This window comes from Homo sapiens, chromosome 6 (genome assembly GCF_000001405.40).
Source record: "Homo sapiens chromosome 6, GRCh38.p14 Primary Assembly".
Lineage (NCBI taxonomy): Eukaryota > Metazoa > Chordata > Mammalia > Primates > Hominidae > Homo > Homo sapiens.
The window spans coordinates 294,916-319,035 of NC_000006.12; the positions used below are offsets into that span (position 1 = coordinate 294,916).

Consider the following 24,120-nt stretch of genomic DNA (forward strand, 5'->3'; position numbering starts at 1 on the left):
GGAATCCTGCTGCAGTAAACATGTTTAACGTGAGATCAGGAGGAACTACCCCAAATCACAAGGTTCATTAGTGGCAAAGTAGATCGCAGGAGGCCAGTAACTTAAGAACCTTAACTAGAACTTTTCCATATATTACTGTGTGACTTGGAACGAGGCTTCATCTGTAAAAAAAGAAGAATGGTTGATTTGCAGAATCAGCGGAAGGTGCTACCCCTAGAAATCCTTTTCTAAGAACATTTATAAATATGTGCAATGTCTTTGGAACTAACATAACTTGGAATGTGTGTGCCCTGAGGTTACTGGGACAAGATTTCTTTCCAATCTCGTACACATTGGTCATTTTTGGCAAAAGAGCATTTCTGGTCTAAACAGTGCACGCTGCATTCTGAGTGCTTTGGGACAGCAGTTTTTATCATTCACATCCCTGTGGTGGCTCTTCTTGTCGGTCCGTTCCGGGCTCCTGTACGGCGGAATATTGTGCCCGTTTCCGTTAGGTGTACGCAGCAGATTATACAGAAGATGGAGGGGAAAAAGGCTTTTATATTCTAGAAAATTAAAGATGAGGAAATAAAGACAGGACTGGGCGTGGTGGCTCGTGCCTGTAATCACAGCACTTTGGGAGATTGAGGCAGGTGGACTGCTTGAGTCCAGGAGTTTAGAACCAGCCTGGGCAACATGGCAAAACCCTGTTTCTACCAAAAATACAAAAAAAAAACCCACAAAAACAAAGCAATCAGCCGAGTGTGTGGTGGCTTGTGCCTGTAGTCCCAGCTACTTGGGAGGCTGAGGTGGGAGAATCACCTCAGCCCGGGAAGTCTAGGCTGGAGCGAGTCGTGATTGTGCCACCGCACTCCAGCCTGAGCGACAGAGCGAGACCCTGTTTCAAAAAAAAAAAAAAAAAAACCCAACAACAACACAGTTGTGAACCATTTTTTTTAACACTTTATAAAATCTCAGCCTCACGGTAGCCCTATGAGGTCAAACGACCTTATATTTGCCCAGATTGGGGAATGGAGATTTGGAGAGGTTAGGTAGCATAAGTAATGCCAGGCAGGGCAGAACCCAGTCTCCACTGATTTTGAAGATAGGAAAAGTCTTTCCTTTGAGCTGAGATGCTAATTCATCCCAAGTAAGTTTTAAAATTCCTAAAAAGTAACTTGAAAAGCTCCTCATAGCTTCGATTACTTGTCAAATAGCCAAAATCACCTCCTCTCTTCCTTTATGTTTGACATTGATAAGGAAGGGGGTAATTACAGGCAAGAAACTAAAACTTTTTTTTTATTGTTTTTGTTTGTGTGTGCAATTCCTAGGTAGATGCCCCACACTGGCCAAAATTATAATTGCCAATGAGTTTATGGTGTGTTTTGAGTACTTTACCACATAGAGTAAGCCACAACTCCATGAAGTAGATCCTGTTATTTTCATGCCTGTTTTCTGGTTGTACACAGAGGCTAAGGGAACTGCCAGGGTCACCCAGCTGGTGAGTAGCAGAGCCTGGACTCAAAGCCACAGTCTGGCTCGGCCACAATGCAGAGTGCCTCACCACGCTGCTAAGATATTAGTCTAGTAAATGTCTCTGGTAAGATTAGGGTTAAACTAAACAGGGTGTTGCATGCAAATGTCGTGTTCCTGTGGAGCCTTTGAAAACTCCTAGTTGACTCAAAGTTCTCTCGAGTCTGAACCCTCAAATCTTTTGGGGGAGAGCCTATAAACAAAACTCCTATCCTCACTGTCTACTTATTAGTCTTCAGTACTACAATACCCCATTAAAAACAAAACAAACGACTAGTCTCTAGCCAAACATTATGTCAGAGAAGGCTGCCCCAAATGCTTCTCATGTGCAAGAAGTCTTTATCTTGATCAGCCTAAAAGTGGGCTGAAGCCTTGCATTCTAGGGCAGGATATGAGGACCCTCTGGTTGGCATCTTGCCCTCCACTGACTGCCAGGGTTCGTTTAGCTCATCAAGCATCCGGCCTGCCTGGTCTTGTGGCCTCTTCCTTCCTCCCTGCTGTGTGTCCTCTGAAAGCACCCTGCCTGGTGGGAATGGCTGCCATCCCTGTCCTTCTCGGGAAGCCTCTCATGGTGCTGGGAGGCCTCACTTCAGTGGGTGCATCTTGTTTCCATGGGGAGCGCACTGTTGCTAAGAGGGGCTGGCTAACAAAAAGCCTGATCTGGGGCACCTCCACCACTGCTGCTTCATGGGTGTGATCCTGAAGAAGTCACTTAAATGTTTCTAAGCTTCAGGATTTTTTTCCTTCCTGGATTCATAGATGTATAGAACTAAGAAACCTTAGGTGGTTAGCTAATCCAGTCTCCTTACTGGCTGTAAAATGAGGGTAATGATACCTTCCCCAATTACTAATTGGGTTATTGGGAGAAGCAAATGGGAATTTATTAGAACACATTTTTCCAAACTGTGAAGTGCAAATACAGTCTGTTTTGAGTGTTCTTGGATGTGACTGACACTTGTTTGAGGATGGCTCTTGCCCTGTTAGGAAGATGAGGGAGTATAGTTGGGAAAGGATTATAATTCAAAGAGAATATGTTCCCTCTAGGCATAGACCGGTGTTCCTCAACGGCTACACCTGTAGACATTTCAGGATAATTACTTGTGAGACTGCCATGTGGATTATGAGAGGTTTAGCAACATCTCAGATCTTCACCCAATAGTTGCCAGTAGCACCTCCCCACCTGTGACAACCAAAAATGTCCCTGATGTTGGCAGATATCCCCTGGGGAGTGAAATCATCCCCAGTTGAGAACCACTATTGAGGGTTCTTCCTCTCAGAATTTCCTGAGGCCTGTGTGATCTGGAACTGGAGAGTTATCAAAAGGTGGAGTAGGGCTTACAGGGTTGAGAAGCTCTGTTTTCATACGGGAAGGGCTGGCAGGTCAGGCACCTTTGTGCTGCTAAATCCATTTTTTCCACCTGGCAGCAGGTGACTTGGCTGCCTGCGTAATCCAGTCATCCATCCATGCACCTGTTCACCATATTGTTATTGAACACAGTCAAGACACTGTGTTAGATCCTGTAGTGAGCTGTTAATAGGAAAGACACGAAGACCCTGCCATGCAGATCAGTCCCAGGCAGCTTGGAGAGGAGCCTCCTGCAGGAAATGAACACTCAGCCACTGCTGCAGGACTGACAGACAGATGGCCACATGCCGGTGGGCTCTGGTTCCTTTCCTCTACACCACCCCCCGAGGGCTCTCTCTTTTCTCCATTTAATATTACATTTTTATTTCGTGTTGAAGAACAGATGTTAAAGGCAGTGTTCTAAGGGCCCAGGAGAGTATTCTCATATTCTTCCCTTTTTATATGCAAACTGGTTAAGTCCATGGCCAAATGGCATTTAAAATGTCTCTGTGACATTTAACCCTTCAAGGAATCCACCAAAGTTTTCCCCTTCATGCCTGGCTTTGAAACCCAGAAAGTCCTTTCTGACATAGAAAGAATTAAGATTCCGCTGCCACCCCCACCCCACACATGGCCTTGGGCAGCTGCTTGCTCAGGAGTTTACTTCTCAGCATCAGTTTGGGTGGGGTTCTTAGATGCCATGCATCCTGAAGGACTAAAATAAATGTTTAAAAAGTAAACTCAAAATATTTCCTGCCTTAGAAGCAGTATTCTTTTGTGCTTAAGTGCGTTTTTGTGGCTGAGGATTTGTGTTTTTGCATTTCTGTGAAGCTGTCCATCAGGAGGAACCATCAAGCGTGGAGAATCTTTAGGGTGATTTCAAAGCATTTCTGCAGAAGGATTCTGCCTATATTGTCTATGCCCAGACGGTCTTGTAACAGAAAACAGGAATCTTTGACCTGCGGAATGCCAGAGACCGTCTTCCTCTGTGGCCTGTGCTGTTTCGTCACCGTTTATTCAGACTTCCTCTTAGCGTGTTAGACTCTGGGCAGGTTTTAGGGACACATTAGGAGACAAGACAGATGCACCCTCTGCTGCAAGATCAGTCCGAAAGTAAGGAAATGAATACAGCCATTTAGTCACTGATAAATGTGGTGAAGAAAATAAAACAAGGCGATATGAGAGAGAGAGTGCCAGGGAGTTTGGTGGTCAGGAGAGACCTCCCTGGAAATGGTCATCTTGTGGGAGGCCACTCAGGAACAGTGTCCCCAGCAAAGGGAAAGAGCAGCAGTTTCAGAGGCCCACAGATGCTTAGCACCAATTCTGTGCTTATTACTTCAGCATAGTGGGACATTCCCAAGTTGCCTTTACAGGCTTTTTTTTCCAACTTGTCCTTGCTTTCTACCAGGTGGTAATGATTTCATTTTCTCTCTGTTTTTCTTGCTTCTGGCTTGAGCTCAGCTCCTGCGTGGCCTGACTGGTCAGCCAGGTTGTTGCAGATAAACACCTTGTGGTTCCCAGGTCTCCTCTATAAATCGTCTCTCTGCTGGAAAATTATTTGATTTTATTTCATGTTCTCTTTCTCTGTATTCAGGGATTACCAGCAACAAAAATATCGTGAAAATAGATGGGTCAAAATTTTTGGGTTTCAAGTCTGAATTACGAAGCTGACTAGTGTAGAAGTTGAAATATTCATGGGCCTTTTATTTAGTCTCCTTGAAACCAGCCCTGCTTAATCTTGTTTGTAATTCTATATGGAAGAGAATCATACTGTGACTACAGAGAGGGATTGAGCAACCTGCTTTCCATTTCCAGTCTTGAAACTCTAGCTCAGTCTCCTGGTCTGAAACATGAAGTTAAAGGTTGACTGACACAATTTGGTCTTCTCTTTACATTACTTAAAAATATTTAAAATGTATGTAAAATACTCATCTTCAATTCCTTTTAAGAAGTTGCCTCCTCAGGTCAGACTTCCCATCCTTGCCAGCACGCTGCTGCAGCAGCTCCCCAGCACTAGGCCCATGCCACAGGTGTGGCCGGGCACCGTTTCGCATGTGGAAGTCCACTCAGGGCAGAAAGGGGCAGCGTTCCCTCTCCCTGGCACAGCTCGTATCAGGCTTCACTCATCATCATTTTTTCTCTCTCCTTTCCTCTCACCCTGTTCACATTGTCTGTTTGTTCACTCATTCATTGGAGAAATGTTGACTTGAGTACCTACCCAAGGGAGAACCAATCGAGTTCAAAAATATATTTACAAAGAAGATACAGGCAGCAGGTAGAGATCGTAGACTGGAGGTCCATGGGCCCTGGTCAGCCCACAGATGGGTTTAGTTTGTCAACCACAGTATTTTAGTGGTTTTTAAAATTTAATTGACAATATTTGAAAATTGGGCTGTTTCCCATAAAACAGCCTGGAATTTGGGGGCCCTGGCCTGCGTCTCTGCATAGCCATGTTGGTTGGTTGCACCGTGGTCACTTCCTTAGATGTGGGTGAGATTGGAGAATGCCTTCGGGCTCGGGCTCAGGCTGAAGACATTTGAGGGTCCACTCCTGAAAGGTCTCCCTTGCCAAGGTGTAGAATTTGGGTTTCATGCTGAAAGCTACACGGAGCCCTAAGCTGAAGAGTCACACAATCAACTTTGCACTTGAGATGGTTTGAGGAATCCTTTGGAGGGACCACTCAGTCTGGAGGTAGGGAGCTCACTAGGAAGCTGCTGCAGGAATTCAGAAGGGAGACGCTAAGAAGCTGAGCCTGAAAGTTCAAAGAGGAGCACATGAGTGGGAGAGCTGCTGCGTGGAAGTAAATGGCAAATGAGCAGCAGTGAAGTCCAGAAAGGGCAGAGTCTCCTGTCGGAGTGATCTCTGGAGGGTTCCTGGTTGAGCTGGTCCTAGCAGGGCGGGTAGGTCTCGGTACTAGAGGCAGGGCAGGAACAGACCTGCTGTGCCTGTGACTTGCCTCAAGATCTGTGCACTCTTCTGCATTTATGCATTTTTCCAGGTTGAAAGCCCACATCAGGGTCCTTGGCTGTAAGCAACAGCATCCAAATGTGGTTACCTTAGGTAGAACAGGGCAGACAGCCTGGAAGGCTGGAGAGCCAGACTCAGGGGCAACCTTGGCAGGAGCAGATGCTGTAAGTGGTCAGTGAGAGCATTTCTGGGGCTACCGCAAGATGCTGATGCTACAGCCAGTGGACACTGAATGTGCCACCAGCCCTGCTGCCTCTGTTGCCAAAGAGGACACTCTAGGCTATCCCTGCAGCCGGCGTGCAGACTTGTTACACGTGGGTCACACCCATGTAGCAGCAAAGGCTTACGTGAGCAGGTATCTGGCATTGGCAGCTTCTATACTAACAGCTGGGCTCTGCTTCCCACCAAGACTCCCTGGGGCCAGGGTATCCCCAAACCTAGGAAAGGGTTTCAGAGACTGGAAAACCAATAAGATAAATGGCCATTACAGGGTTTGTGGTTTTCGAGCATACCCAAGGGATAAAGGACCCCAAACAGTGGGAACCTCTTCTCTGTTTAGAAAGAATATTTAGGGCAAAGAAAGTGCTATTGCAAGATGGGACCAGTAAGGGGTATTGGGAGAATGGGGATGACCTGGCTCGGCTGGACATAAGAAAGAAGTTGGGGGAAATCCTTCAGAGATCGGTTGGAGCCAACCTGCGGAAGCCATGCTGAATATTTAGTTCAATGTTTGGCCTTGATTTTTTAAGTAAAAGGGTTGTTACTGAACATTTTGAGGTAGAAAATCACCCAGGAAGAATATGGCTTTAGAAAATTAATTTGATAGGACAGAGGAATGAGTTCAGTGTTTACTACTGTAACCCCTGTGTGAATTGAGGCTCTGCGCAAGGCTGAGGAGGGAGACTGTGAGAGGCCTTCTAATTCCCGGGAGGAGGGGAGCAGAGAATTGAGAGAGAGGTGCCACAGCGGTGGGAGCCCTGGGTTTTCATTCGGGGTGACTGGGAGAAGGTGGCACCATCAGGGGCAGGAGGACTTGACAACGGTGGTGGGAAAACAGTGGTTTGCTTGAGATAGTCCTGCAGCAAGCCGGGCTCCAGACGATGAATTTAGGAGTCAGAACATCATGGTTCTACAACATTAGAATGTAGAGACGGTCTACTCTTATGCCCTCATTTAATTTTAAAGATAATATAAAATGTATTAATTTGTGCTTAGTAGAGAAGATAGTAGATGTACAAAGAAAAAAAGCAAAAATGGGCCATAATCTGTTTTCCGAATAATCCCTCTTGATTTAAAAAAAGTGCAAATTGGCATAGTGCATGCACAGGACTGGAGTGTCAGATGGCGGAGGCAAGCTCAGAGAGAAATGCAGAAGCCCTCCTCCAGGACCCCGCCATCGCCGTCACGGAGGTGAGCATGGTGACGAAGGGAGTGTACGTGCACACAGCTGTACCTTTCCTGTTTTTCATACCATTTTCAAGATATATTAAGTTAAAACGCGTAAGATCGTCTTCCTCACAGCCCCACACATCTTAGGCGTCGTATTCCATTTCATGGCACCTAACTTGGAGTCTGGATAGTGGCCAGTGGCCACAGTGTCTGCTGTGCAGGACCAGCTCCTTGCACTAACGCCCGCCTTCTCTCCACCTCTCTCCCACTCCCTCCAGTAGAGACAAGACCCTTTCTGCAGGCTGACCGTTCTGCTGTCCCCTCCCTGTCTGCCCACTGCTCTTGGGCTGCAGGTCCTGAGTGTCACTGTCCCCAGGAAGCCCTCTGCGACCCCAGAGTGGTCAGGTCACCTCCACTTTCCCTGTGTGAGCTGCTCATGAGGGCAGGGCCCTGTCTCTCTCAGTCACACCTCTACGCTGAGTGCCCGGCATTGTGCCTGAGGAACTTTAGCCACTATGATACGTTCTCTGACTTTGGGCAGATAAACATGCTTATAGTCTAGAAACATTTTGATCTAGAAAATCGCCTAGTGATTATAACTGTAGAGTCACTGCTGTAAAAAGTGATCCTGACACTTGGTTAAGCCAGCAAGGAAGACTCTATTCGAGACCATCACAACAGGGGAGGACGCGACTCCAATATGGCAGGAACAAGGGTGGATGGAAAGCCAAGGGCAGGGTGAGGGAGTGGGTGGAATACCACTCAGGGGAACTGGATTAGACATCGGGGTGGAGGAACAGGAGCTTGGTGGGGTCTTAGGGGATACGCTTAGCAGGTCTCTGCTCGCACTGGACTCGGTCGGGCAAGGACCAGGCCTTGTTGAGAAAAGGACTCAGAGGAACCTGACTAAAGTTTGGTCAAGGAGGGGTCATTGCACTGCCAGACAGAAGAGCCACATGGCAATGATGCTCTCTAGTGTCTACTGCCACATCCTAAAAAAGGCAGGAGAGACCCTCGGGAATGAGAGACTACACACAGCAAAGCTCTGTGCAGTCAAGCATTGCCAGAGAACATCAGTGGGATCCACATCCAGGACGAACTTGCATTGTTCCCGTCTTTCAAGATAGGAATGATAAAGTATAGACTGTTGTCTCGGAGTAATGATTAGCAAAGCCTCTTTTCATTCTTGGACTGTCCCAGTTTGGCCGATACATTACGTGGCCCCTTGGCTGGTTGTCCCTCTGCACAGAGACTAGCTCTGGGCCTAGCACTGCCGCCCTGACATGAGCCACAATAGATCCCCTGCAATCACTAGACATGAGCCATGGGTTTTTAGCGAGGCAGCCGGTGGTCAGGAAGATGCTTGAAGAAATCAGCTAACATGAAGAACTGTACTACAGGCTCTTTGGACTTCCTCAGTGGGAGTGAAGGAAGATAGGGGAGCTGCAGGGTTGGCAGACAGTGGGGGCGAGGCTAGGACATCTAGGGATCTGTGGTGAAGCGTCACCAAGACGAGCTGGTTGTATGTGCTTGGAAATCGTGGCAAGTGATATCGTGAGCATACTTTAACAAGTGGTACTGTGTTCTTATTTAAATTTCAGAGTGTCCATGCAAAGTGCTGGCAAGACAAGAATTTGCTTCCTACTTCGCAAATTGTGGGTGTGAAAGAAGCCACCCCAATTTCTCATTGCCGACCTGCTAAATCATTCCATGCGGGGGCTGGAGGTGGAGAGGAGGGCTTGCCCAGAAATGTGTATTTTTAACAGATTCTGGAGTTCTGATGGGGAGTTTGGTTTGAGAACCACTGCCTTAGAAGAGTTGACATTTTGCAACAAAGACGTGTTCTTCTTAACCTGCATATATGTGGAGGTTGGATCATTTATTTAACAACCCATTGTTGACTGTCATCCTGGCCTGGGGCTGGGGAGGCAGCAGTGAGCAACAGGATTCGTTTGCTGCCCAAGGAGTTTTCCCCGACAGAAAGATGGGCCTTCACCTGGTCATGCCCTCGCAGCAGCATCGCCACACAGGGGACATAGAGGGCTACTGTCACTGAGCCGGGGGCCAACCCTGGACTTGGGGCTCAGGACTGGCCAAGGGTGAGGTGGGCGGGAGTGTAACCGCCTGCAGTGGGCACCGTGTGTGCAGTGGCCTCGTGCAGCAGAGTGCAGAGCTGCAGGGCCGCCAGGGCTGTGGGGCCAGGGTGGGCAGGCGGGGCAGGGGACTTGGACCCTCAGAATGCCCACCAGCACTGCAGGGCTGCAAATGAGGATGACGGGGTCGAAGCCGGGCCCTAAACCCAGCGAGTCGATGGGCACCAACCCACGGCCTTCCACAGGCCGCTGGGGATGTTGGGTCACCCGCGTGTCTGTCAGGGAGGTGCTGTACTGGGGAAGCACCTGGCCTTTGCAGGGATCCTGCTGCTGGATGAGGCCCCCTTCTGCAATACCATCCACTTAGAGTCTGCCATGCTCATGTCTGTGTCTGTCTCTCTCCTAGATCCTGCCCGGCCTGTACATCGGCAACTTCAAAGGTGAGTTCTTGCTTTTTTATTGTTGTGATAAAATACACATAACATAAAATGTGTCATCTTGACCATTTTAAAGTGTATAGGTCAGTGGCTTTAAGTAATTTGCATTGCTGTGCAGCCATCACCAACATCCTTCTGCAGGACTTTTCATGTTCCCAAACTGAAACTGTGTCCCTTAAAACACCAACTCCCCATTCCTCTCCTCCCAGCCCCGGGCAGCCACCATTCTGCTTTCTGCCTCTATGAATCTCACAACTATCGGAGCCTCCTCTTAGTGAAATCATGCAGTATTTGTGCTTTTGGGACTGGCTTATTTTACTGAGCACAGTGTCACAGTTCATCCGTGTTGCGGCGTGTGTCAGAATGGCCTTCCTTCTTAAAGCTGAATAATACTCCATTGTGTGCATAGGCCTCATTTTGCTTCCATTTATTTGTTCGTGGACACTTGGACTGTTTCCACCAAAAGTGAGTTCACTTTTTAAAAGATCAGCTTTAGACTTCTCATGGGTGAGATTGACAGGCAAAGTGTAGACTCAGTCTACAGTCTGTTCTGGGAGTGGCCCCCACTTGCACCCAAGCCCCTTGCTGGGTGCACCGCAGCCCCTTGACCATCACCTGATGGAGTGATGTGAGGCTGTGCCCGCTCCAGCTCTGCCCTGGTTCTCCTTTGAACTCTCCACACCTGTTGGAACATTATCATCAAAAGGTGTTGGACAACAGGCACATTTAGCAATCATGTGACTTATTTATAACCTTTTACAACTTTCATTTTTTAGTTACTATTGAGAAATTTTCAGAAGCCTGTTCTTTTTAAGTCACCTGGGAAACAAGAGTGACAATTTCATCTCTGGCAGATTCTTCTCATCTGGTGCTTCTCTTCTCACACATTTCCTGCCACTTGTTCCGTACTGATTGATTTACTGTCAGCTATTGACTCTATTTTCACTCAGCTCTGGAGCACGGTGGTCACTGGGCTTGTCGGCTTCCAGGGAGGGGCCAAGTCCCCCTGCCAGGTGACCTTCAGAGTTTGTGTAAGTGAATCACTGAGATGAGGTGGGAAGATAGAGATGAGGGGCCCTTAATAGGATGGGAGAGACCTGGGAAGCTTGCAGGCAGGTCCCCACTCATGTTAGGTTGGACAGAGCCAGACCATGTCATAGGCAGCTAATGCTCCTCCCTTCCCTAACAAGCCAGAACATGGCCACTCCTGTTGGCTTTCTGGATGTTGCTGAAATTTCTGAGTTCAGATTCAAATTGATTGTACAAATAATCTTTATTGTTGCTCTATAATGTCTGTTTCCACACACACACCCGTATCCCCCCAGCTCACTATTAGGCCTCAAAGAGAATTGAGCACAGAGAGCTGACAGCTGCTAATTGCTACAAGAACATGTTAAAAATAGTACTGGACTTGCTAAATTAGTAAGCTTTGTAGTTCTGAAAAAGCAGCAAACCCTTTGTGGTGAGTAGGCCAGGATACATTAATGTAGCAAACGTCAGAGTTATTTAGTGAGTTATTAACTGTTTTCATGGGGAAAGGGAGTGTCTTTGAGAACAGAGTTTAGGATAAGTTCTTAGAAGTAGAATTGCTAGATGAAAGGTTTGAAATTAAAAATTTTAATAAATATGAACCAAATTCAACACTTCTGACAACAGTATGTGAGAGTTTTAGCCTTAATCATGAAAGGTTACTTTTTTTGGAAGGACAGCTTTAAGGAAATATTTAAAACTCTTTTCACACTACAAGCTATACCTGTTTTCTAAATATTCAATAACATAGGACTCCTTGCAAGTTCCTGGATCTTGTGCTTTGTGGTTTCGTCTATGAGAGTGTTGTAAACAGCCCACCACCTCTCCTTGTTCATAGGGTTAATGCTGCATTATTACCTTAAGTTATTCTGATATTGGTATGAGGTTGTGTTTTATTCACTCGTTAGCCAAATATTTATTAAACGCTTTCCAGGTACAAGGCTTATCTAAAAGAAAGGAATGAGAGTACAGTGAATTGGCGAGTGGCTCGAAGGAGAGGAAGTATTTTCCCCAATTGTGCTGTGAATTCACTTGTTCATTGCACAAGCTTATCGGGAACACACGATGTGCTGGGAGTTGAATGTGGACCAGTGTCCCTGCCCTCAGGCTATCAGAGTCCAACAGCAGGTGCAGAACAGGAAGGGGCCAGTGTGTGTCCTCACATGAGTTACACACCTGGGGGTGTAGACTGGGAAGATGGAGTCTGTCTCACAGGGCTGTAGCGGGGCTGACCCAGACAATGGGTGATGCCCTCGGTGGGCTCAGTGCCCAATACCTGGTGCCCTGATAAATAAGCACCCACACACTCACTGCTACTGCCATGGGAGCCCGATCGATGCCAGGTCTGCAGTAGGCAGCTGGGTGGCATTGGCTGGCAAGGGTGGAAACCCAATGTGGAATGTGGCCTCTTTCTTTTTTCCTGGGCGGTGAATCCAGCTGTCATCTGTGCTCTTGCCTGGCATCTCATATAGTCATTTATCCTGCTCTTTTAAAATTACGAGTAATATGTGCCTCTTGTAACACAAGAACCAGTAGAGTAGAAAGGAACGTAAACAGTCACTCCCTTCTTCTGTCCCTTCTCCTTCCTCCCCTCCCTTCTCTTCCCCTTCCCGTTTCCTTTCTTCCCTCCCCACTTCTCTCCCTCCCTCCCTTCCTTCTCCTCTTCCCTCCTTCCTTTCAGTAGGATCCCTCGCCTGTCACTCTGCAACTCTTAAGAAAAAAAAGCTTTGTAATGAATCCACAAATGGTTTTGTAGCGCCTGGTGATTTTTGCTCCTGGAGAAGAACCACAAACAAACCCAGCTCTGGAGCCCGGTCTTTGGGTCTTCGATGCTTTGGTGAGAGCCTCTCTGTTGAGGCTCCAGGATGCAGCAGGCAGCCTTGCCCAGAAGCCAGGAGGGAAGGCAGGGAGTGGAAGCCAGAGAGAGCAGCCCCTCCCTGGGCCGGAGGGTGGGTCCGTGGCTTCCTTACAACTTGGCACCAGCGACAGTAGATGTCAGCTGACAGACGAAGCCCTCATTGTTTGAAGATGTCCACAGAATTCTAGAAAAGTGGGAACGCTCTTAGGTACTGTGTGTACGTGAGTGGTGTGCATTGAGACCATGTTCGCAGTCTTGAGCTTGTGTTTTGTGCCTGCCAGTAAGACAGACAGTCCTGGTGGGTACCCAGTTGTTTGGACAAGGCCAGCCTGGTCAGAGGTAGTCTGCTGTCAGCTTACTGAGACAAAATCACCATGCTTAACAGGTCAGCATATGTCCATCCAGACTTATTTTTTCCACATGAATTCTAACTGATAACCTTCCTGTTGGTTTTATGAATTACTAACCTGTTGCATTTGTGACTGCCAGTTGGGGAGGGGCCCGCTGGCACCGGGCCAAAGGTCATTCCCTCCAGGGCTCAGTGTTAGGGTGCACATGACCTTCTGGGGTTCTTCTTAAAGCGCATGTTCTGATCAAGTAGACATGGGGTCTACTTGATGCTCTGCTGCCGGTTGGAGGACCCCATGTTGAGCACCAAAGCGCTAAGTTCTGCCCCTCTAGGTCTGTGCTCAGGAGGAGCTAGTTTGAAATGTACAAGCTTGTGTCTGTGCACATTAGGAAACTCCACCTTGAGCCTTACAGCTGGATTCCCAGCTCATTACCTCGCTGCTCATGATTGTAGGTCGCCTTCCAGGACAACCAATAGTGTGAAGTCTGTAAGAATTAAAGTTCCAGGGTCATCACCCAGCAGGTTTGATTAAGCATTTTATGCACTCTGAAGTAAGTGGGCAGAGCCTGTGCCTTATGGGAAAGGATGCATCAGCGAACACGGTGCTAGCGTGCGGTGAGGAAGAGGGGAGGTGCTGGCCCCGGAGTGCTTCCCTGTGCTTTGGAGTCCAGCCGGCAGTGGGCTGTCGTGATATCAAGTGGTCTTCTCTATTCAGAAATGTATGCTTTTTTCCCCAGGCCACTTTAAAAAGATTCACTCTGTATTATCAAAGCATATTTACGGGGTGAAGAAAATGTTCTAAAGTTATATATTGTGGCTATTGTGCAGCCTTGTGAACGTATGAAACCATTGAATCATATACTTGATCAGGGTCCGTATTATGGTATGTGAATTATATCCCAATAAAGCTTTGTGAAAGGAGAAAAGTAGATTGAAACAAATACGGATGGTTGACATTCAAATGCCAGGTGGAATGGGTGTCTGGAGGAGCCAGGTGGGTGGGTCAGATGAGCTGGCGCCATCAGGCTGCCCCGCCTCTACTGGGTCCTCGCCCCACCTCCTCCAGGTTCTGTGAGCGCTGAAGCTGTGGCTTTGTCTGTTTCACTGCTTTTCTAAAATGTCCCATGCTGGTGGCGATTGGAAAATCCCATTTTGGTGTGAATGTGGGAACTGGCTGCCTGTGGCTTCCAAAACGATTCTAGCTTCTGCCTAATTAATTCTAAGCTAGCCTTGCTGGTACCCCAACTTGTGAGGGGTTGGGGGTTGGCAGTGAGTCCCCATGTGCTATGTAGATGGCTCTCATCCATAGCAGGTGGCTTTGAGGTAACTATTTATTTAGCTCAAGGGGGAGTGAGAGGACACTGCTATTATATTATAGACGCCTTTCTGAGCCTGATAACTTAAAGGGCTCATGTTCCTCGTATAAAAAGGTTTTTTCTTTCTCACTTTGGGTCAAAAGATGAGCCAGTCAGAAATAAACTTAGGCAAAATACTTGAAAACAATAGCCCTAAATTTGAAGCTCGAAAATTTGAATCTGGGAAAGCAATAGCCTGGAATTTGAAGCCTGAGAGGTTGGAGCAATGAAAAGAGTCTTAAAAGTGGTATTTTAATATCACCTAAATTTTTTTTCCTGACGTTGCTGAATGTTTAGAACAATGTTTCTTGACTTCTGCTTCATCATCAAGGCTTGTTAGAGATGGAGATTCCTCAGCCCCAGGGTAGATCTTTCTAACTAGCCTCTTGGCAGTTCCTAGGGTGTTAAACTTCAGAGCCACTCATGTAGAACACACACACACACACACACACACACACACACACACACATACTATAAAGAAGGAAGAAAACCCTTGTAATTCCGTCTCTGAGCTGGGGCTGTCTTTGTACCAGTCCCGCCATCCTCCCTGCCATGTGTTTGTCTCTGCATTTTTATACGTTGGGTTTGTGTCATATTTATGGTTTGGTACCTGCTTTACATTATACCCTGAGCATTTTCCCATGCCATGAAATAGTCTCCAGAACCATGATAATTAAACATTTGCCTTTCTTTGTTGTTGTTGTTGTTTGGTTTTGTTTTGTTTTGCTTGAGATAGACTCTCACTCTGTTGCCCAGGCTGGAGTTCAGTGGGGCGATCTCGGCTCACTGCAACCTCCGCCTCCTGGGTTCAAGCGATTCTCCTACCTCAGCCTCCTGAGTAGTGGGGTTTACAGGTGCACACCACCACGCCCAGCTAATTTTTGTAATTTTAGTAGAGATGTGGTTTCGCCGTGGTGACCAGGCTGGTCTCACACTCCTGACCTCAGGTGATTGGCCCGTCGCGGCCTCCCAAAGTTCCGGGATTACAGGTGTCAGTCACCATGCCCGGCCTAAACATTTGCCTTCTGATCCATTTCTCCTGTATCATTTAGGAAAGTTCAGCCAGGCTGGGATGGGGGTGTAGGGAAGTGGACCTCCTCATTTCCTGCTGGCCCCCTGTTTTGTAGATTAGTAGAAGGGTTCCACTTCAGGGGATCACACCATTTGGTCTTCTTTTTGCAGGTAGGGACATTGGAAGGGAATATAATTTTGTTATCTTCTTAGTTTCATATGGAGATAATTTAATAGCCAACTGATAGCTGATAGACAGTTCTGTTTGGAATTTCCAGAAAAAGTTTCATTTTTTAATTGTGCTTTAAAGTGAATATAGATGATGTAAACCACAGTCCTGTCTGAATCCAGAACTGTCCCTGCTTTTGACGTCTGGGGAAAGAAGTAATGGGCAGTTTCCTTTGTCTTCTAGAGTTAATGGTTTTGTATTTAGCTTTTTAAGAATTCTCATCATTAAGAGGCCATTGAATTAAAAAAATATTTTAAATATCCCTAATATTATGTGTCTCATGCAGAAAGACTGACCTAAGGTCATCTCTTACAAATGCTAACTACAAAATGGTCTCGTAAATTTACCTTCTTGATGATGTAATCCATGTAATCCATCATGATTACAATGTTTATTAATCTAAGTGCATTTCAATTTCTAGATTAACACTTTTGTTGCCTAAAAGGAAGAAGCTGAGGCAAAATTAATACAGAGGGTTTATTTGGGCCAAGCTTGAGGACTGTAGCCTGAAACACACTTTCAGGTTGCCTTGGGGAGTGCCCCGGAGAGTAAAATAGGGGCTCAAGTTTTTAAAGAAAAAAAGACGAATCAGGAGAGTGGCAATTACAAAAAATTGTTCAGCAGGAATTCTCATTGGTTTATAGAAATAACATTGGTTAGTGCCTGGCTATACGATATTGAACTATGATGTATGGCATTTTATGTCTACTTGGCATCAGTCTAGGGACCACATAGCAGATGGCTTCAAGGTAACCATTTAGCTCAAGGGGGAGGGAGAGGAGACTGCTGTTATATTACAGAGGCCTTTCTGCACCTGATCATTTAAAGGGACTCTTCTTCCTCATAGAAAGTTTTTTTCTTTCTCACTCTGGGTCAAAAGATGAGACAATCAGAAATAAAGTTAGGCAAGGCCGGGCGCGGTGGCTCACGCCTGTAATCCCAGCACTTTGGGAGGCCGAGGCGGGCGGCTCACGAGGTCAGGAGATCGAGACCATCCTGGCTAACACGGTGAAACCCCGTCTCTCCTAAAAATACAAAAAATTAGCCGGGCGTGGTGGCGGGCGCCTGTAGTCCCAGCTACTCGGGAAGCTGAGGCAGGAGAATTGTGTGAACCCGGGAGGCGGAGCTTGCAGTGAGCCGAGATGGCGCCACTGCACTCCAGCCTGGGCGACAGAGTGAGACTCCGTCTCAAAAAAAAACAAAAGAAATAAAGTTAGGCAAAATATATGAAAGCAGTAGCCCTAAGTTTCCTACATGTATGGTCAGTTATGAAGTTTCAGGAAAGAAATATGCAAGTCATTTTGTGGGTTTTTTTTTTTTTCTGGCTAGACTTTAGGAGTAATTAACTTGCAAAGATATCAAAATGTCCATCCCCTTTCTTCTCTGACAGATGCCAGAGACGCGGAACAATTGAGCAAGAACAAGGTGACACATATTCTGTCTGTCCACGATAGTGCCAGGCCTATGTTGGAGGTAAGAGAGCACCGTGGGGCGTGTGTGGGTGTCCTCATTTGTATTCCGTGGGAGTACCTACGACGTTAATGAAGGCAACCAGGTTCTCTCCAATGCGAACGTACTCCTGTGATCTCTGGCGGCATTCCCATTGTGTTCAGGCCGTGTTGATGTTAACACGCTGTCTGTAGCGTGGCGCGAGGGTGTGTGCTTTTTCTGATCACACTCCTGCTGCATTGCCACTTTGGCTTTCGTGGCTAAATGCCTAGGAATAAGCTGAGGCTGCATTTCCCTCTGGACCTTAAGGACATTTAAACCCCATTTTCATTCCTTTCAGAATTATCTCTGGTTTTAAAATCCAAAAAACTTCAGCCTGCTCATTTCCTGATTTTGTCCCATTTAAACTCAAATAGCTACCACTGGCATTCAGGGGTCACAGAAAACAGAAGGTGAATCGTCCTGGAGGGTTCCCAGGGCCGCTCTAATGTGGAGACTCTCGGTGTAGAAGCTGTTGTGTTTTAGGTTTTCGGGGTAAACAGGGTGTGTCTGCTTGTGCACTGATTCCAAAAACATCTTTAAATTTACCCTAATGGACGGTTTGAGCTGTTGGCTAGAGGTAAAATCTATTTATGTTTATTAGCCTTGACAGAGCCCGAGTTACCTCCTTTTAGAAAATAATGCTGTGTGGTTGTGATGTGTATGTGTTTTTCTATTTTAGGGTGGGGTGTTGGAAAGGGAGGGGTGGCTTGTTCTGAAAGAAAGAATCCTGGTTCAGGCTGTTTTCATTTAAATTTATATTAGGCAAGAGTAGGTAATGTTTTTTATTTCAAATGTATCTATTTTCTTTAGCCATTAGGGCTGCCAGATTTTAGTTAGTATAAAGTAAGCTAAAATTGATGAGAATGTAGAATAATAAATGATTCTACTAAACATTGTAGTACCAGAGAATCATAGGTGGTGAACAAACCTCAATTAATTTCTCCAGATCTCCGAGCTCCTACTTCCTTGTATTGTTTAGCTCATAATTTTTTTTTTTTTTTTGCTAAGGTGCTGTAATTTGTGTTCCAGCATGATTTTATTGGAAATAACAACAACAACAAAACATTTTTTTGGAGCCTAACAGTTCCTTTGAAAATAACCACTCCATTTTTTAATCTGTCAACAATAGTTTGTATTTAAAATACAGCCAAGCTATGGCCAAGATGCTAAGTTAAACTGCAAACTGGTCATGATTGACTTCCTCTTAAATCACAAGATGAGGCTTGAGGTTTCCTTTATTTTAATAAATTGCAGAGATGCCCTCTCCACCCTCAGCCCCAGGCCTGCCTCCCTGCTTCATACTCCATTAAATGGAACACACTGTCATGTGTGCACATGACCCTTAAATCTGCTCACATTGTAACTTCTGTGTAGATAGGAGATCTGCCAGGGTTAGAAATCAAAGAGCTCCAGCCCTTATCACTTGGGAAACCACAGGCTAGCGAGTAAAGCAGGTGGGTTTGTAACCCAGGTATAAAGAGCCCGCTGATTGTGTAAAACCTCAGAGCTGTGGGCAAACTGTGTTCCCGACACAACACACTACACATTCTTTTTATTCCCTGTGTAGCTCAGTCTGTAAGGACAAATTCTGCCTTTAAAAAAAGAGAGAGAGAAGTGCTACCCCTTTTCTTCACTGGGACAGCTTTTACTTGGAGACACCCTATTGTAGTCTCCGGGTGCTATTATTATCTTAGCTTCATAATAAGTACTTCCATGTGATTTTATATTTATTGTTATGCCACTGTTTTGTAGCATAATGTATTAGTATTGCCCCTCTTAGCATTTTATCAATCTTTAATTTCACAAGTAATTCATGATATATTCTTATTTTAAAAATTAAAACAATAGCCTCTGATTGCACAGTGGGGAAAAGTGAGGGGCCAAAAGTTATTTGAATTGGTGGTGCCCACATTAAGTTATAGTCTCAGAAGTTCCAAATCTTTGTTTAGCTGTCTGCCTGGGGCACAAAGGCAGTCTTCTGTCTTGAGTTTCAAATCCAGATCCATAAGCTGTGTCCTCACGCAGCCTGAGATGAGTCAGGGAAATGATGTGTTTGGAGTCGGTGGGGAATTAGCGGACGGGTTTGGTGCTTCAGCAGCTCCTTGTTTTGCCAGCCCTGATCCCGGGAGAGAAATGGGGCAGGGAATGAAGGTGAGCGGGGAGACTGTGCGAGGTCAAGCAAATGCAGTGAGCTGACCCCTGGCTGGTGAGAGCCCCTAAGTGAGGGTGATAAATGGTGGGAGAGGAGAGAGCTGGGCCTCATTTATTTCCCGAGATCTTCAAAACCATACGTATTTATTGAATGGCCGCTGGCTTCTCTGGGCAGCCCCAGGCTGGGGCTTGGTAGGAAGTGGGAAGGTAGCTACTGTCTAAAATGGAAGGGTTTTGGTCCTGCTACATCCATGCAGGTGTCCTGCGAGCCCTGCTGCTGTGAAGCGACGTATTGGGCACTACACTGTGGATACTTCTTTGGGTCATTTCCAACAAACATCTCAATGAGTTTAAAGCTCTGGGTTACTTAGCATCAGTTACAAAGGGCTTTTGGAAACTCTAGTTCTGCCTTTATTGTGATGGAGACTAAGTGAGAGAGGGTATTCATATTGTTGGATGTGGCCATGCAAGTTTAGAAAACTTAGCACACTTTATTCCCCTCTGGAAGGTTCACAGTTGTGTTGTCGGAATAAAGGCTTGAGAGCCCTATTGTGCAGACATGTATCAGCCTTTGTGAGCCGGGAGACATTGTATGTGCTTGCTTATGTGATGTGCCTCCTACTGAGACCCCCATGGAACATGTCCTGTGAAATCCAGGGGATGTAAGTAAGGAGGCTCCCATTTTTACTTAGGAAGGAACTAAGGAACTTGTGACTTGGTTGCTTTTGGTTGGATTAGATTGGACCCCATTATTTGGGTAATTTGTTGGGGGTTGGGGTTTCCCAAAATAGCATTCATAGCATCTTGTACTCTTCCTAGCAGCCTGGCTGGAAAAAGAAAATAGAAGGTACTGTTATCAGGCCTTCAGAGTGGCTGTGCCTTGCCTCTGGTCAGGGAGTGGCTGGGTGGTCTCTGATGCGTCTTGGGTGGATGAGAGAAGATGTGTTTATCCACTGGACCATGATGGGTGAGGTGGTCAGCCAAGGGAAAAAGGCCTATGTCTCCAATTACTACCTCTTCAGAAGAGTAGCTAAGGGGTAGACCTTCCAGAATGAAGATCTTAGAAACGTAATAGAAACCTGGGGACCTTCAAGCTCTCTAGTAAGCCCTAAATTCACATCTGAGATTCTGAGGAGCTCTGACCCGTTTCTATGCCCCACTGCTCTCTGTCGGAGACAGAAATCCCAGCTAAACAGGGTCTAGAGATCAGCAAGCCTAACTCTATCATTGGGTGGACAAAAACCTGGACGTTGGGAGACAGGAAAGGACTTGCCTGGGATTCCCATGGCTGTCTGGGTAGCTTGATGGGAAGCCGGGACTCCTCTCCCAGACTGGGGATTTTCCCAGCATGCCCCACTGCCTCTGTTCTCTCCTAGCACGACTGATGTTTCTGATATCCTTAGTGGTATCGGTAGATCTTACCAGATCACCTTTGAAAAAGGTTGTGCTATTTGTGCTTGTACTAGCAATGTATGAAAGTGCCTTTCCCTGCCATGCCATCACCAGCACAGAGCTTTGCTCTTCTTTCCTTTTAATTAGCAAGATTTTTGCTGTTATTTGCTGCAAATACCCTCTTCACACATCCCGTCCCTTTCCAGAAAGTTCTTCCCTTTGAAGACAAAGGGTTACTGATTTATTCATTTCTTGAGCTCCTCCTATGTTCCAGGTCTTGGGACAGGTACTGTGGGTAACAGAAGTGAGTTCATCCCAAGATCTTCCCTGGCAGAGCCTTTGGTGTATGCACAAGATACGCGTTGTAGCTGCTTTATAAATATTGGTGACAGTGAGAGAAGAGCTGTGGCTTGGAGCAGGTGGCAAATCCCATAGGAACAGAGCCTGTGGAAGCCCAGAGAATGAGATCCTTCTTCTGCCGTTGAATCTGGAGACATTTGACTGGGCCTTTGGCGATGCCTAAGAATTCAGAAAATGTGATCCCTGGCATTCCAGCTGGTGGAGAATGCCAGGACATGACTTCCTCTGAGAACTCTGAGTCCAGCAAGGTGGATGGTGTTATTTAGTGCCTCTATGGCTTAACCAGGCTGGTTCTCACATCATCTGTCAGCAAGTGGCAGGGCCAGGGCTGGAACCAAGGCCTTCTCACTACAGAGGCAAGGGTCTTCCTGCCAGCCATAGCCCTTCAGGACTACACTTTTGGTATCAAAACTTCGGAGCACATGATGCTAGTAAAATGGCGGAAAATCATTGCCGCATATATTAATTTCAATAGAAAGTAAGCCCAGACCTGTTTAAGAGGAAAAAGCAAAATCCTCCTTCGCCTGTTTCTGTGCTCAGGACTTTGTCAGGGAGTTGCCCCTGTGTGCTGAAAAGTGTTTCCTTATTTGTGGGGACGGGTGGGAGCGGTGTCTTCAGCGTCTACTGATGGCTCCAGGTTTGAGGGCTGGTGAAAACTCCTATTGCAAAGACAGTGATTTTTCAAATCAGAAACCTGATATTGTTTGTAGTTGCTGAGAAACTAATATTGAGCAATGAAAGGTTTCTCCCTTCCCCTGAAAAAAAGAAACAGAACTCTTTCTAATGTAAAAATTTCGGTGTTTCATTTTTCATTTTGTGTATTTAAGCAGAGCACCTGCAGGAAACAAAACTATTTCTCACTATTAACAAAAAAAAAGTTTTAAGAAGTATTCTCATGCCTTCACTAAGCTTCTAACATGAAGAACCTTACCTTTTTAAAAATGACACATACTGTAAGATGACAGTGTAGGATCAAGTAGAGAAAAAATGATTTATACTCATTTATGAAGACCAGGGTATTGTATGTATATACCAGGTAGATTTTATGAGCTAGAGTTCAGCTTGGATATTTTCTGTTTTCAGTGTGAACCATTTATGGTGTTTTTAAAAGAATGGGATGTTTTCATATGCAGACATTTATTCTTGGTGATTCTGTTTATATTTCTTTTAACATTGAAGACATTTTTTGAAGTGTTGATGCCAAGACTTTACTTGTGTTAGTTTTGTTTGTAGTTGGCTTCTTCCTCTGGTTGTTAACTGTGTGCCTGTACTTCTGTCTTTATTTACCTGCTTATTGATGAGGAAACTCACCAAGGTGAGACGCCCAGTCTGCTTGGACGGCCCCATCCTTTTTCCCCGGGTCAGTGCCCAGCGGCCACGTGGGCCTGAGGCCGAGGTCTCCTGGAGGGACCCTGGTTTCCTGCCACGTGTTCCTCTTGCTGATCCACCCCATTTCTCTTGAACAAAAGTTTTGTTGGCTTCCCAAATGTAAAGCAAGCCAGAAGCAAGATGATAAAGGGTGTTTAAAGTTGAAGAAGGCATGTGTGTATTCTCTTTCCTCTCTTCCCACCCTCTCCTGCTCACATGAATTCTCCCCTCCCTCCGAGCTCAGCCCCAGCTCTCCTTCCTCTGAGAGGGACACCGTCAGGGTCCTCCGAGCTCAGGACTTCGGCCCCTTTTCTGTAATGTCTTCAGTTTGTACTCTCAGTTGGGCCATGAGACACGTGTGCACTGTCCCTGCTTCTGTAGGATATTAAGCATCCATTTAACCTGTGCTTTATGACGTAAGTGTTCATGGCCCACATCGGGCTCCTGAGCTGGCCTGGGAGCCCACACAGGCAGCTGCCGTGCTGGGGTTTCTCTGGTCCTTGCAGCACTCGGCTTGGATCCAGCACGCAGGGGCCCCTCTGCAGATGTCTGCTGATGAAAGGCGAGATTTGCACCATTTAGCCCCGTTCCAAAGTGAGAAATCATGTCTTATCACGCATTTAGCCCCGTTCCAAAGTGAGAAATCATGTCTCATCACGTCTTTGGCCCCTTGTGGCTCATTAGGATGTGAAAGTAGAGTGGGGTCAAGAGTGATTTCTTTATCATGAGCAATTTGTGAAGCCAGAGGATCGGTTAGTGCAATGCAGCCTCGCTTATATGGGCAGTCTGTGTAGTTCCTCACTTCCTTAGTAAGCAGCGGTGCCTGTGGATGTCCTGTTCTACAGAGCTGCTGTGGCCTCTGGTTCAGAATGATCTTTTCCTAAGTTGTTACAACCAGTAATCCCCTGTGCAGCTCCTGTGACTTTCTGATTGAAATCTAGAGAGCTACCTTTGCTTGTCATTAAAAGCTTGGCTCTACAAAGAGGACCATGCATCCAAGACACAGACAGTGACAGTCAATTAAAGGAGGATTTGCCATGGTCAAGCCCCATGCCAGGGTTGGCACACAGCTTGTGGAAACGCTGTCACAGACTTCATGGAGCTTATCCTCATTAGGAAAAGCTAAGAGGACATTCAGGGCACAGGGACTTGTGTTCTGGTTGTAAAGGGAGAGCCTCATTGCCTGTGGCCCTCCTCCAGCAGCCATTGAGGCTGACATGCAGGCCATCACCTCCAGCCCTACCTTTTCCCTAGGTGACCACAGCAGGCCTCAGCTCTCAGGACCCCAGGGGGTGACCACAGCAGGCCTCAGCTCTCAGGACCCCAGGGCCTTTCCCCAGGTGACCACAGCAGGCCTCAGCTCTCAGGACCCCAGGGCCTTTCCTGTCCAGAACCTGCAAGTCACAGAAGCTATAGGTTGCCCTTCTCCAGGCACAAGGAGGATAAACCCCCAAAGCCACACATCTCATACACACAGATGTGTACAGATGTTCAAGTGTGCAGCCATTCATGGCAGCGCTGTTTGTAATGGCAACAAATTGGAGCCAACCCACATATTCAGCAGAAGGGGAGTGGTCAGTGCTGGTTCATCCATATTAAGGAATACTCGGCAGCAATTCAACAAGAAAAGGAAGACGTCTGTGTGTTCACAGGGTTAAGTCCACTGTTAAGAAAAGGAAGCAAGTTATAGGATGATACCCATCATATAATCACATTTATGTAAAGTTTAAAGTCAATGGTGTATTTCTGTATTACATTTATATGCATGATAATGCACAGATAAG

The 24,120-nt window shown here is 46.4% G+C and overlaps 1 protein-coding gene across 5 annotated transcripts in view, besides 9 other annotated features; it reads left to right on the plus strand.

Moving 5' to 3' along the window:
* DUSP22 (dual specificity phosphatase 22) overlaps positions 1-24,120 on the plus strand; it is a 58,869-nt gene that overhangs the window by 2,429 nt on the left and 32,320 nt on the right. For 3 of the 5 annotated variants that reach the window (NR_104473.3, NM_001286555.3, NM_020185.6), the window contains exons 2-3: positions 9,713-9,746; positions 16,965-17,047. The exons of 1 other annotated variant lie outside the window; for it this stretch is intronic. Coding sequence is in view for 2 of the 4 variants with exons in the window: in NM_001286555.3 (NP_001273484.1) it covers positions 9,713-9,746; positions 16,965-17,047 (117 nt within the window). In the remaining 2 variants the exon portion in view is untranslated. The remainder of the gene's footprint in view (positions 1-9,712; positions 9,747-16,964; positions 17,048-24,120) is intronic. One more of the 5 variants, NR_104474.3, reaches the window with a different exon arrangement.
* Positions 1,732-1,891: an enhancer, noted in NCBI's record as "active region_23819". NCBI's record gives its function as "activates an Ori minimal core promoter by ATAC-STARR-seq in GM12878 lymphoblastoid cells {active_cell/tissue: GM12878}" and the evidence as "EXISTENCE:reporter gene assay evidence [ECO:0000049][PMID:35858748]".
* Positions 2,632-2,721: an enhancer, noted in NCBI's record as "active region_23820". NCBI's record gives its function as "activates an Ori minimal core promoter by ATAC-STARR-seq in GM12878 lymphoblastoid cells {active_cell/tissue: GM12878}" and the evidence as "EXISTENCE:reporter gene assay evidence [ECO:0000049][PMID:35858748]".
* Positions 9,152-9,231: an enhancer, noted in NCBI's record as "active region_23821". NCBI's record gives its function as "activates an Ori minimal core promoter by ATAC-STARR-seq in GM12878 lymphoblastoid cells {active_cell/tissue: GM12878}" and the evidence as "EXISTENCE:reporter gene assay evidence [ECO:0000049][PMID:35858748]".
* Positions 10,051-10,100: an enhancer, noted in NCBI's record as "active region_23822". NCBI's record gives its function as "activates an Ori minimal core promoter by ATAC-STARR-seq in GM12878 lymphoblastoid cells {active_cell/tissue: GM12878}" and the evidence as "EXISTENCE:reporter gene assay evidence [ECO:0000049][PMID:35858748]".
* Positions 18,206-18,265: a silencer, noted in NCBI's record as "silent region_16803". NCBI's record gives its function as "represses an Ori minimal core promoter by ATAC-STARR-seq in GM12878 lymphoblastoid cells {active_cell/tissue: GM12878}" and the evidence as "EXISTENCE:reporter gene assay evidence [ECO:0000049][PMID:35858748]".
* Positions 18,516-18,585: a silencer, noted in NCBI's record as "silent region_16804". NCBI's record gives its function as "represses an Ori minimal core promoter by ATAC-STARR-seq in GM12878 lymphoblastoid cells {active_cell/tissue: GM12878}" and the evidence as "EXISTENCE:reporter gene assay evidence [ECO:0000049][PMID:35858748]".
* Positions 19,427-19,606: a silencer, noted in NCBI's record as "fragment chr6:314342-314521 (GRCh37/hg19 assembly coordinates)". NCBI's record gives its function as "represses an EF-1alpha promoter that drives an FKBP-Casp9 reporter gene in an ReSE screen in HepG2 liver carcinoma cells {active_cell/tissue: HepG2}" and the evidence as "EXISTENCE:reporter gene assay evidence [ECO:0000049][PMID:32094911]".
* Positions 21,291-21,600: an enhancer, noted in NCBI's record as "active region_23823". NCBI's record gives its function as "activates an Ori minimal core promoter by ATAC-STARR-seq in GM12878 lymphoblastoid cells {active_cell/tissue: GM12878}" and the evidence as "EXISTENCE:reporter gene assay evidence [ECO:0000049][PMID:35858748]".
* Positions 23,771-23,950: an enhancer, noted in NCBI's record as "active region_23824". NCBI's record gives its function as "activates an Ori minimal core promoter by ATAC-STARR-seq in GM12878 lymphoblastoid cells {active_cell/tissue: GM12878}" and the evidence as "EXISTENCE:reporter gene assay evidence [ECO:0000049][PMID:35858748]".